This window comes from Homo sapiens, chromosome X, assembly GCF_000001405.40.
Source record: "Homo sapiens chromosome X, GRCh38.p14 Primary Assembly".
Lineage (NCBI taxonomy): Eukaryota > Metazoa > Chordata > Mammalia > Primates > Hominidae > Homo > Homo sapiens.
In genome coordinates, this window is record NC_000023.11 from 152,251,306 (window position 1) to 152,264,853 (window position 13,548).

General features: G+C 39.0%; 1 protein-coding gene across 2 annotated transcripts in view; it reads right to left on the reverse strand.

The window, feature by feature from the left end:
• The window catches only part of GABRA3 (gamma-aminobutyric acid type A receptor subunit alpha3), a 285,082-nt gene that overhangs the window by 85,072 nt on the left and 186,462 nt on the right, over positions 1-13,548 (reverse strand). For both annotated transcript variants that reach the window (XM_006724811.4, NM_000808.4), the window contains exon 5: positions 4,473-4,693. In XM_006724811.4, coding sequence (XP_006724874.1) covers positions 4,473-4,693 — 221 coding nt within the window. The remainder of the gene's footprint in view (positions 1-4,472; positions 4,694-13,548) is intronic.

A 13,548-nucleotide genomic window follows, 5' to 3' on the forward strand; every position in this document is an offset into this window, starting at 1 on the left:
AAGGAAACTAATCCTTTGCTCGGCTTCATCCTCTGCCCTCCTCAACCTGCACCTTCTATTTTTTTGTATTTCAATATTCCCATCCTCTCTCCTTTCTTCTCTCTTCTCTATCCCTCCTCCAAAACTTAAACCTATTCTCTATGCTTTATTCCTTTTATTGTTGTTTCTCCTCTATCCTGTTCTTTTCATTCATTCTCTATTTCTCCTCACTATTTGCAATCTCTACTGGGTTCAGATCCTTTCCTGCCCATTACTCTCTCCTTCCTCTTGCTTCTCTTCCATTTGCTTACTGTCTTCTGCCCATCCACATCTCCTCCTCATTATTCTGTCCCTCCATCCACCTCATTCCATACAGCTTCTTTTCTGTTTACATATACTCCACTCCATTCTTTCCACAATTGTGTGAACTCTTATCTCTTTTTCAAACTCTTCTCTTTCCTATAATTTATTACAAGCATGCCTCTCTTCCATCTATTCCTTCCCTAATGCTCTGTTTCCCCAAATTCTCCTTGATATATGACACTCATTCATACCTTTTCTCTGTCCTATCCTCCCCACCTTCATTTCAACATTTATATATAACCTCATAACCTTTCATGCAATGTGAGAAGAGGTGTCCCTCTTCCTTTCAAGTAAAACTCTAACTGTAGATTTGATATCATCCCCTTGATGGTATTTATGAGAACTTGCTGTCAGCGATGTGTTATTTCTCCTATATCTTCTATCTTTGTCTTCCTACTGACTCTTTTGTACTACCTCACAAATATGTGTCAATCTCTCCTCTGAAAACAAAAGCAATTTCTTTTACCCCTGAATGTAGCTATGATACCTCCCTCCCTTTCATTTTTCAAACAAGCTTCTCGAAGGTATTTTCTATGTGCACTATCTCCCCACTCCAACTCCTAAAACTCTCCATTGCACTAGCCACTCTATTGAAACAGTGTATGTGAAGAACACTAATATCCTCCATGTTACCAAACTTAAGACAGACTTTTAAGTCTCTATATTACATCTCTTTTTATAGCCAACAATGTTGTAAAAAATGTGTAAACAGGGTAAAGTGCATGAACTTGCAGCTACACTACCATATTAATAATGCTGGCTCAACCATCTACTACCCAAGTGAACTTGAAAAATTCTGTTACCCACGTCGTGTCTCAGTTTTTTTTTATCTGTAAAGTTGGGATAATAGTACCTATCTCATACTGTTGTTAAAGCTGTTATGAATATTATAAAAGAATGATTAGAACAGTGTCTGTCATATTTTAAGTACTATATTGATGTTAATTAATAATACTTATACTATTAGTGGTGTTATTATTGATAACTCTCATTGTTTTGAAACTTTAATTTATCAGTCAAGATGGGTTAGATTAATATGCAGTAGGAAACAATCTGAAAATCTCAGTGTCCTAAAGTAACGGAAGTTTATTTCTCACTCACACTACCTCTGGTTGGGGAAGTGGGACCCACTCGCTTCTATGTCATCTTCAATAAGGGGCATAGAATGATAGGGCCAAGACCACCTGGCATAATGCTACTTACTGTGGCCAGGGGAAGGCAACATGGCAAATTATGTATTGGCTCTTGAGGGGCTTCCCATCCTCTCTCAGAGCTGACACATACTATTTACACTCACATTTGGTTAGCCAAAGCAAGTCATTTGTCCATGCTGAACTTCAAGGCTCAGGGAAGTGTAGTACTACTTTGCATCCAGATGGAGGTGAAGTGAAAATATTGGCAAGTGGTAATATTGACTACCACACTTAGCTTTCATGATACTGCACATTGTTAACAGCTCCCTGACATTTTCTTCCTGGTTTCTTTCATAGGTTCCTCTTTCCCCTCCACTGCCTTACTGATAGTAGTTCTAGATGACTAGATACCTGGCATGAAATTCTTCTTACTCTATACTCTTTCCTGAAGTGATGACATCCATTTTCACGTTTCCATTTGTTCCAATATACTAACAATACCACACTTTATATCTCTACATTGTATCTCTCTCCTGATCTTAAGACTTGAATATCTAACTGCTGTTAAGACTTCTTTCCCTGGATAATCTACAATCACCTTAAGCTTATCTTGTCCCAAATTAACCTCACAGACTTATCTAAATTTGTCCTAACTTTCATATCATCTACTCCAGCCTATAGTACCATCTTTCACCCATGTTATTTGGATACCTACTACCTTCACAACTCCTCCTCTCTGTCATTCTGAAGTTTTCTATATTTACTGCCGATTTCCTTAACATATCGTCACTTCTCCATCTTAATCCATTGTTCTGAATTAGAACACCACTGCTAATCTAGACTATTTCAGCTGTTTCTTAATCATTTTATCTAATTCCAGTCTTTTTACCTTCAAATGCATTATTTACCCAGTAACTACAGAGCCATATATGAAATAGAAAACTGACCACCTCAGTCTCTTGCCTAAAATATGTCCTTCCATTCCCTGCAACTGCTCACTTGGTTTTCTCTGTCTAGAACGTCCTTCCTCTCTTCCTTCTGCCTCTACCTATCCACCTACAAGTTTCTTGACTGCATTCTACTTACATAATAATATAAAATGCTAATGCTAATACCAATAATCAGAAGCCTAGCTGTTGCCTTATCCAGGGACTCTTCTCTCAACCTGTCCCAAAACAATGAGTTAGATGACCCTGCTCTATATTCCAATAACTACCCATCTCTTTAGCATTTTAGTTAACATAATTTGCTATTATCCTATTAGTCTTTCTCCCCTATTATATTGTGATTATCTTAAGGACAGAGATTATGTCTCATTAATGTTTGCATTTCCAGAATTTACTTTAGGGTCATGTATATATTAGGAAGTCAAAACATGTTTGGCAAATGAATAAATGAGGGAAAGCTTCTCTTTCTTTCGTCTACAATTTCCCTCCCTCTTGTTCATCTCCTCCCATGTCCCTTCCCCTACTTCTCTATGTCTTTTCCTCTTTATTCCCATCTACTACATCCACTTCATTATATTCGCCTATCTCTTTAGAATATCCTAATATCTAATCTAGCTTCTTTATTTTACACCATCTTATCCTTTGTCTTCTCAACTTCTCTACTCTTTTTGTCCTCTCTTCTCATACTCTCTTTCTTTTCACCATTCTCATTTCTCCAATATACATGCCTCTATGTACTCTGTGTAATTAGTCTTCTCCTCCCCTCTTGACCCTCATCTTCCCACTTCTATCCACTTTCCTTCTTCATTATTTTATCCTCCACTCTATGCTCATTTCTCCTCTATGTTCATTTTTCCTCCCATCTCTCATCCAACTTCTCTCTGAAGTATTATCCTTTTTTCCTTGACCATCTCCTCATCTTCCAAATTCTTGTAGGAAAAACACCAATAAATAGCAAATTTGAAGTAATGAGAGATTAGTATACAGACAAACACACTTCATTTATTCACCACCTATTTACCAGGCATGCATTATTTGAGGTTTGTTCTGCAAAATAACAAATACACCAATTCTAAATAGCCATAGAAGCTCCACTACACAAAATTAGCACTCATTAATGTGGAAGGAAGCTTCAGGAAGTGACAACTGATATCGGAGGAACAAGCAAATTCATAAAAAAGCAAACCCAAAAACCAAGAATGTTTTTCAGTATTGGGGAAAGAATCTTATTGCACTGAAAATTTTTTCAAATTTATTCTTTTTGACAGCAAAATTCAATGCCTAATAACTCTATGACAGTAACAAGTTATGAAATACATAAAATTGTGATGTTTTTATCCATTGGGAGTTGGAAAAGTATGAAATATAATTTATATTTTATGAAGATTTCTATATCTATATATACACACACACATATGCACACACATATAAACACCATGTATAGATAGATAGAGATATAATCTTAAATTGTTTGGAAAATTCACTTATTATCATCCTCAGTATCCTAAGGTAATGTAGCATAAAATAAACATATTCAAATAAATAAAAAATTAAAATAAGTATTTTTAAATTTATGTTTATAAAACACTGTATGTTTCACAAAATACCCATAGTTATCTCATTTGATTCTCACAACTCTGCATCATAGGGATAGTTTGTTGTTGCAGTTAAACCTAGTCAATTCTAATTATCAGCGTTCATGCCTGTGTGTATGTTTTTGTGAATCTGTGTATTTAAGTGTCCTTGAATACATTATGTCCTTCTGTGTTAGTCCACATGTGTCTTTAGGTATGCATGCATATACAAATCATGAATGTATACCTCTGTGTTTCTCAAAATGTTCATCTATGCAACTCTTTATTTATGTGTTTATTAGAATATATATGTCTGTGAGTATGTATGCATGCAATTGTATTAGGAAGTATATACATACCTGTACATTTCTAATCTATACACTTGAGGGAATTTTCAATGGATACTCTAAAACATTCTGCTTTCAAGCCCAGTCCTACTCCCAATATACTTTGGGTGGGAACCACCACTCTCTGACCTCATTGTATAGAGGAGGGTTCCGTTGTCCACCAATCTGAGCAGCTTGTTGGGCGTGGTCATGTTATGAGCCACTGATTTCTTGCCATTGTGGAAGAAGGTGTCCGGTGTCCAGATCTTACTAGCCAGGAGATTGTTCAGTGGAAGGATCTTCATGGGGCCATCAAATTTCAGTCTTTCATCATGCCATGTCTGCCGAAAAAATACATCAATAGTGTACTCCTAGGGGTGAAAAGAGAGAAAACAATGTTTCAGTTGAGTTCTGGTAAGGGCTCATAGTGCCCTTAGCAAATATTAATTACCTTGCAGTATTTCCTCTGATGCAGAGAAGCAGCAGTCTATTAACAGTAGCTCCTGGTGTGTAAGGAAAATGATTATGATTGAGAAATAATGCCATGGAGATTAATAAGCATGGGGATAACATATTTGACAAGGCATTTTTAAGGAAGACAACTGCCAACACATCCCCACACAGCACACAAGCTGATCATAAGACTTTGCCTTATGAAAAGGCAAGTGCTCCCTCCTGTATGCAGTGACACCCAAATAAGAACAAGTTTCTTACCTTGTCTCTACTGCTTAATGACCCCATATGAACATCAAAGGCCAATATAAAAATCGCCACAAAACCAAAACCTTACATTTTATCGTACATTTAATCTGAGCCTCAAAATAACAATATGTCTGATTAGCAAATAGCTTATTATCCTCAATAAATAATGAAATATTATAGATAAATAAGATAAAAAACATACCTTATAGACAAATAAGATAAAAATGGGTAAATGAACAGCAAAGTCATGAAATGGATAAAAATTGCTAATAAACGTGAAGAAAATATTCAAATTTGCTGTTTATCTAAATACAAAATAAATGAACAATAAATGTTCCAGGTATTGGTAACAGCATAATAAATTGTTTGATTACATTTTCTTGTAGCTATTAATTATAAAACCTGAACAACAACTGTATATACCTGTATTCCTTGAAAGCAGTGGAGCGTGACTGAAAGCAGACAGAAACCTAAGGTGAGTTTACCTTTGAAAGATGGCAGCAGCAATAGATTAGAATTGTGAGTTTGTGATTTTTCTTTCTTGAAGGTGCTTCCCAAACCTAGAATTCCTGTGGCATATACAACACCCTTACTGGCTCAAGGTGGCAGAGAATCTGGACCATTAGGGATGGAAGACTCAAAAGTAAGAGAATCCCAGAAGGGATGGGCCTCCAAATCTGAATATATATTCTGCCGAAAAATTCCGGCTGATCACTATACTACACACAAATAGGAGAGACCCTGGGGCCCAGTTAAAAAAAATAGGCAGAAACAATAAGATAGTGGTCCACTAAATGAAAGAAATGAGCTGGGTGATGTTTGTGAATTTGCTACGATTTAGACTGAAGGAATTCCTTAATCCATCACAATTCAAGTGGAGGAAATCTGAAAAAGTATTAGCTTATCAGAGAATAAGCTCTGGATTGGAAGATGGAAATTCATGAGGATGTCCTGGGAACAAGAGAACCACTGAGAGGGTGAGTCCCAAAATCTGAGTATAACATCTGCCCAAATATTTGACCACTGAACTACACAAGGCACAGGGGACACTTCCAGATAGCCAGGTTAAAAGAAATGAAAGCCAGAATTTGCTGAATATTCTTTGGTTTAAAATCCCCTAATGGCTTCCAATCGTATGTGGGATGAACTTTTCCTTGCCATAAGCTGGCCCTTGCCTTCCTCTCTGAGTTATTCTCCAAACACTCTTTCCTTTAAAGATTAGCCATTCTGGCATTTCTCTTCCTTTAGTAGACCAAAAACATTCCTGCCTACAGATTTAAAGATCATATAATTGGTTGCCTAAACTGGAACACTTTTAAGAGGAAGAGGAGGCAGGACTGTGGCAGATGAGAAGCTGGAACTAGACTTTCACATAAAGCCAAGAATCTGTTAAGAGCTTAGCAAAAGGGTAAACTAGATCAACTTAACTAGACAAAATCAGATCACAACACAAAAGTTCAAAAAGGAAGAGGGAGGAGTTGAGGAGAAAGTGTTTCTACTGAAATGTAGCAACCTCAAAATTCTAATCATATGTGGGATTGACATCCGAATATATACTGTCTGCCTGATCTGAAGTTTACAAGCTGAAAACTTAACACAAAAATTGGTCTTAAGCTGGGTATACCACTAGATTGACTTGCCAAAGCAAACACACAAAAAACTGGAAGGACAGAACCACAAATTAATGCTTGCTGAAAATTACTTCACTGTCCTTAATGACAAAACACCTAAGGAAATGGTTACAAGTAAGGGTCAACAGATACAAGATAAAACTGAATTAGAGCCCCTCCAAGGACTTCATATAACATAATTATCCAGTAGTGATTATGAAAAAAACTATAATTAAAATTATAAAGGTTATGAGGGGAAGGGAGAAAGTAAAAGCAAATTTGAAAAAGATATATCTAATTGAAGTTGACTTTCTGTAAAAGAAAAATAGTCATTGAAAATAAAAGTTCAGTGGGTGTGTTACATTGAAGATTAGATATTATGAAAGAGATATTAGTGAACTGGAAAATACATATGAGGAAAAATTGCCCAGTTCACATTTAAGACATATAACTGATAGGAAATATGAAAGGGAGATATAGTACTATGAAGGATAAAAACAAAAGTTTCAGTATACGTGTATTACGATTCTAAATGTGAGAGATTTGAGAAAATAGGGGAGAAAAAATATTCAAAGTAGTAATGGACTACAATTTCCAGAATTGTTGAAATATATGCATCCTTAGCTTCAAGTACCATAATGAATTGCAAGCTCAATACATTACAATAGATCCCAGCCAGTACATAATGAATTTAAAGAATACCAAAGAAGAGATTTTTAAAATTGCAAAACAGAAAAGACATACTACCTACATAGATATGACCACTTGACTTATAACCACCACTTATGTTGACTTCTTAAATGCAACAATAGAAACCAAAAAGACAATAAAAATACACTTTGAAAATGTTGTTGAGGGCACAACAAGATGGCACAATAGAAGGCTCCACTGATTGTCCCTCCCCCACTCAGCAGGGACACCAATTTAACAACTATCTATACACACACAAAAAAGTACCTTCATAGGAATTAAAAATCAGGAGAGCACTCACAGTGCCTGATTTTAACTACATATCACTGAAAGAGTTACAGAAGAGGTAGGAAAAACAGTCTTGAATCACTGACACCACCCCTCCCCAATCTGCTGTCACTGGTGGTGTGGCATGGAGAACTGTTCTGTACACTGACGAGGGGGAGAACACAGCAATTGTGAGACATTGAACTAGTGCTGCCCTGTTACAACAGAAAGCAAAACCAGACCAAACTTAGCTGATGCCTGCCGATGGAGGGAGTATTTATCCTAGCCCTAGCCAGAGGGGAATCACTGATCCCAGCAGTTGCAACTTCAGTTTCCATAAGCCTTGCCACCTTGGGCTAAAGTGCTCTGGAGCCCTAAGTAAACATGAACAGCAGTCTAGGCCACAAGGGCAGCAACTCGTAGGTGATTTCTAGTGCTAAACTGGGCCCAGAGCCAGTGGACTGACTGTGGGGAGACATGTGACCTATGGAGACACCAGCCAGGGCAGCTAAGGGAGTGCTGGCTTCATTCCTCTCCTAACCCAAAGCTGCACAGCTCGCAGCTCCAAAAGAGATCGCTTCCTTCCACTCGAGTAGAGGAGAGGGAAGAGTAGGGAAGATTTTGTCTTGCATCTTGGATACCAGCTCAGCCAAAGCAGGACAGGGCAGCAGTCAGAGTTGTGAGGCCCTTTTTACAGGCCCTAACTCCCAGGTGACATTTCTAGAAACACAGCGGGTCAGAAGGAAACCCATTGCCTTGAAAGGAAGGAACGAACCCCGGCAGGATTTATCACCTGCTAACTAAAGTGCCCTTGGGCCCTGAATAACCAGCAGTGATACCCAAACACTATGTGGTAGGCCTTGGATTAGGCTCTGAGATTTGCTAGCTTCAGGTGAGACTCAGTACATTCCCAGCTGTGATGGCTATGGTACTAGACGCTTTCTGCTTGAAAAAAGTGGAGGGAAAAGTAAATGGGATTTTTTTATTCAATCTTCGGTACGAGCTTGGCTTCAGTGTGTTAGAGCATCAAGCAGGCTCTTGGGGACCCTGATTTGAGGACTTGGTTCCTGGACAGCATTTCTGGACCTGCCTTGGGCCAGACTGGAGGAGACTGCCCTGAAAGGTGAGTCCCAGGCCAGGAAGTACTCAGTACAAGCTAACTGAAGAGCTTTTGGGCCTTAAGGGAACATCAGTAGTAGTCTGGCGGTACTCTTGTGGGGCGGTGGTGGTGGCCATGAGGTGAGGCTCCTCTGCCTATGAAAAGGGGAAGGTGGAGTAGGAAAGACTGCATGCTGTGGTTTAAGAGCCAGCTCAGCTGCAGTACAAGAGAAAAACCAGGTAGATTTCTATTTATGACTGTAGTCTCTGGCTCCCAGATGGCATGTCTAGATCTGCCAAGGGCCTGGAAGAATTCACCACCCCAAATGGAAGGACACAGGCCTGGCTGGCTTTGTCATATACTGATTGTAGAACACCAAGGCCTTGAGTGAACATAGGCAGTAGCCAGGAAGTAGTTACAGGAAGCCTTGAGTGAGACCCAATACTGTGCTGGGTTCAGGTCTGACCCAGCACAGTCATAGTGGTGGTGGCCATAGGGGTGCTTTTGTCACTCCACTCTCAGCTTCAGGTGGCTTAGAACATAGGGAGAGACTTAATTTGTTTGAAAGTTAGTAAGGGAAGCCAAGAAAAGTCTTTGACTGGTAATGCAGAGAATTCTTCTGGATACTGTCTAAGAACATTAAGGCAGAATCTCTAAAAGACTGCAAGAACCACAGTGTTACTGAGCTTGAGGTGCCCCCTAAAACAGATACAGCTTAGATCACAACACCCAAGTCCTTTCAAATATCCAGAAAGCCTTCCCAAAAAGGAGGGGTACAAACAAGCCCAGACTGAGAAGACTATGATAAATACCATACTCTTCAATGCCCAGACCTGATGAACATCTAGAAGTATAAAGACAATCCAAGAAAAACATGAACTCACCAAATGAACTGTATTACTCCATTCTCATGATACAAATAAAGACATACCTGAGGCTGGGCAATTTATAAAGGAAAGAAATTTAATTGACTCAAAGTTCAACATGGATGGAGAGACCTCAGGAAACTTACAATCATGGCAGAAGGGGAAGCAAACATGTCCTTGTTCACACAGTGGCAGCAAGAAGTGCCAGGCAAGAGGGGGAAAAGCCACTTATAAAACCATCAGATTTCATTAGAACTCTCTCACTATCATGAAACAGCATAAGGGTAATCACCCCCATAATTTAATCACCCCCACCAGGCCCCTCCTATGACACATGGGGATTAGGGGAACTAAAATTCAAGATGAGATTTGGATGAGGGAACAGCCAAATCATATAATTCCACTCCTGGTGCCTCCCAAATTTAATATCCTCACATTTAAAAGTACAATCATGTCCTTCCAACAGTTCCCCAAATTCTTAACTAACTCCAGCATTAACTCAAAAGTCCAAATTCAAAGTTTCATCGGAGACAAGGCAAGTCCTTTCCACCTATGAGCCTGTAAAATCAGAAGCAAGTTCGTTACTACCTGGATACAATGGGGGTACAGGCATTGGGTAAATGCATCCATTCCAAATGAGAGAAACTGGCCAAACAAAGGGGCTACAGTCCCCATGCAAGTCCAAAATCCAACAGTGCAGTCATTAAACCTTAAAGTTCCAAAATGATGTCCTTTGACTCCATGTCTCACATCCAGGTCATGCTGATGCAAGAGGTGGACTGCCATGGCCTTGGGCAGCTCCACCCCTGTGGCTTCGCAGGGTACAGCCCCCCTCCCAGTTGTTTTCATGGGCTGGAGTTGAGTGTCTGTGGCTTTTCCAGGTGCATGGTGCAAGCTGTCAGTGGATCTACCATTCTGGGGTCTGGAGGATGGTGGCCCTCTTCTCACACTTCCACTATGCGGTGCCCCAGTGGGAATTCTGTGTGTGGCCTTCAACCCCATATTTCCCTTCCACACTGCCCTAGCAGAGGTTATACATGAGTGTTCTGCCCCTGCAGCAAACTTTTGCCTGGACATCCAGGAGTTTCCATACATCCTCTGAAATCTAGGTGGAGGTTCCCAAATCTCAATTCTTGACTTCTGTGTACCTGCAGGCTCAACATCTTGTGGAAGCTGCCAAGGCTTGGGGCTTGCACCGTCTGAAGCCATGGCCTGAGCTGTACCTTGGCCTCTTTTAGCCACAGCTGGAGCTGAAGCAACTGAAGATGCAGGGCACTGTCCCCAGGCTGCATGGAGCAGGGGGTTCCTGGACCTGGCCCATGAAACCATTTTTTCCTCCTAGGCCTCTGGGCCTGTGATGGAAGGGGCTGCTGTAACGGTCTCTGACATGTCCTGGAGATATTTTACCCATTGTCTTGGTAAATAACATTCTGCTCCTTGTTACTTATACAAATTTCTGCAGCCAGCCTGAATTTCTTCCCAGAAAATGGCTTTTTCTTTTCCATCACATTGCCAGTGTGCAAATTTTCCAAACTTTTATGCTCTGTCACCTCTTGAATGCTTTGCCACTTAGAAATTTCTTCCACCAGATACCCTAAATCATCTCTTTCAAATTCAAAGTTCCACAGATCGCTAGGGCAGGGGCAAAATTTCACCGGTCTCTTTGCTAAAGCATAACAAAAGTCATCTTTGCTCCAGTTTCCAACAAGTTCCTTATTTCCATCTGAGACCACCTCAGCCTGGACTTTATTGTACATATTGCTATCAGCATTTTGGTCAAAGCCATTCAATGAGTCTCTAGGAAGCTCAAAACTTCCCCACATCTTCCTGTTTCTGAGCCCTCTAAGTCTCTAGAAAGTTCCAAACTTTCCCACATTTTTCTTTCTTCTTCTGAGACCTCCAAACTGTTTCAACCTCTGCCTGTCATCCAGTTCCAAAGTCTCTTCCACATTTTCAGGCATCTTTACAACAGTGCCCGACTCTCTGTGATACCAGTTTACTGTATTAGTCCATTCTCACACTGCTAATAAAGACATATCCGAGACTGTAACTTATAAGGGAAAGAAGCTTGATTAAATCACAGTTCAGCATGGCTGGGGGGGCCTCAGGAAATTTACAATTATAGCAGAAGGGGAAGCAAACACATCCTTCTTCACATGGCGGCAGGAGAGAGAAGTGCCAAGCAAAAGGGGGAAAAGCCCCTTATATCTCTTGAGAACTCACTCACTATCACAAGAACAGCATGAGAGTAAGCACCCCCATGATTCAATTACCTCCAACCGGGTCCCTTCTGTGACATGTGGGGATTATGAGAACTACAATTTAAGATGAGTTTTGGGTGGGGACACAGCTAAACCACATCATAAACTAAATAAGGAACCAGGGAACAAACCTGGAGAAAGAGATATGTGACCTTTCAGAGAGATAATTCAAAGTAACTGTGTTGAGGAAACTCAAAGAAATTCAATAACACACAGAGAAGGAATTCAGAATTCTATCAGATAAAATTAACTGAAATAGTTAAAAAGAATCAAGCAGAAATTCTCGAACTGAAAAATGCAATAGGCATACTGGAGAATGCATCAGAGTCTTTTAATAGTAGAATGAGTCAAGCAGAAGAAATAATTATTGAGCCTGAAGACAGGCTATTTGAATGTACACAGTAATAGGAGACAAAAGTAAAAGGAATAAAAAACAATGAAGCATGCTTTCAAGAACAAGAAAATAGCCTCAAAAGGGCAAATCTAAGAGTTATTGGCCTTAAAGAGGAGGTACAGAAAGAGATAGAGGTAGAAAATTTATTGAAAGGGACAATAAAAGAGAATATTCCAAACCCAGAGAAAGATATCATTATCCAAGTACAAGAAGGTTATAGAACATCAACCAGACTTAACTCAAAGAAGACTACTTCAAGAACATTTCATAATCAAACTCCCAAAGGTCAAAAATAAAGAAATAATTATAAAAGCAGCTAGAGAAAAGAAACAACATGCAATGGATCTCCAATACATCTGGCAGCAGACTTTTCAATGGAAACCTTACAGGACAGGAGAGAATGGCATGACATATTTAAAGTACTGAAGTAAAAAAACTTTTACCCTAGAATAGTAAATCTATTGAAAATATCCTTCAAACATGAAAAAGAAATAAATAATTTCCCAGAAAAACAAAAGCGGAGGGATTTCATCACAACCAGACCTGCCCTATAGGAAATGCTAAGGGGAGTACTTCAATCAGAAAGAAAAGAACATTAATGAGTAATAAGAAATAATCTGAAGGTACAAAACTCCCTGGTGTTACTAAGTACACAGAAAAACACAGAATACTATAACATTGCAGCTGTGCTGTGTAAACTACTCTTATCTTCATAGAAAGATTCAATCATGTACTAATCAAAAATAATAACTACAACAACTTTCCAAGACATAGACAGTAGAATAAGATATAAATAGAAACAACAAAAAGTTAAAAAGTGGGGGAACAAATAAGGTATAGAATTTTTATTAGTTTTCTTTTTGCTTGTTTGTTTGTTTATGGGAACAATACTAAGTTGTCATCAGCTTAAATAACGGGGCATAAGATAGTATTTGCAAACCTCCTGGTAAACTTAAACCAAAAACCATACAATGGATACTTAAAAAGTAAAAAGTAAGAAACTAAATCATATCATCAGAGAAAATCACCTTCAGTAAAACAATCACAAGAAGGGAAGAAAAAAGGAAGAAAAGACCACAAAACAACTAGAAAACAAATAACAAAATGGCAGAAGTAAGTCCTTGCTTACTACTAATAATGCTGAATGTATATTGACTAAATGCTATAATAAAAAAAATACAGTGGGTGAATGGATGAAAAAAGCAAGAGCCAGTGGTCTGTTGCCTAAAAGAAACACACCTCACCTTTAAAGACACATGTAAACTGAAAATAAAGGGATGGAAAAAGATATTCCATGCAGATGGAAAGCAAAAAAGAGCAGGAGTAGCTACACTTAT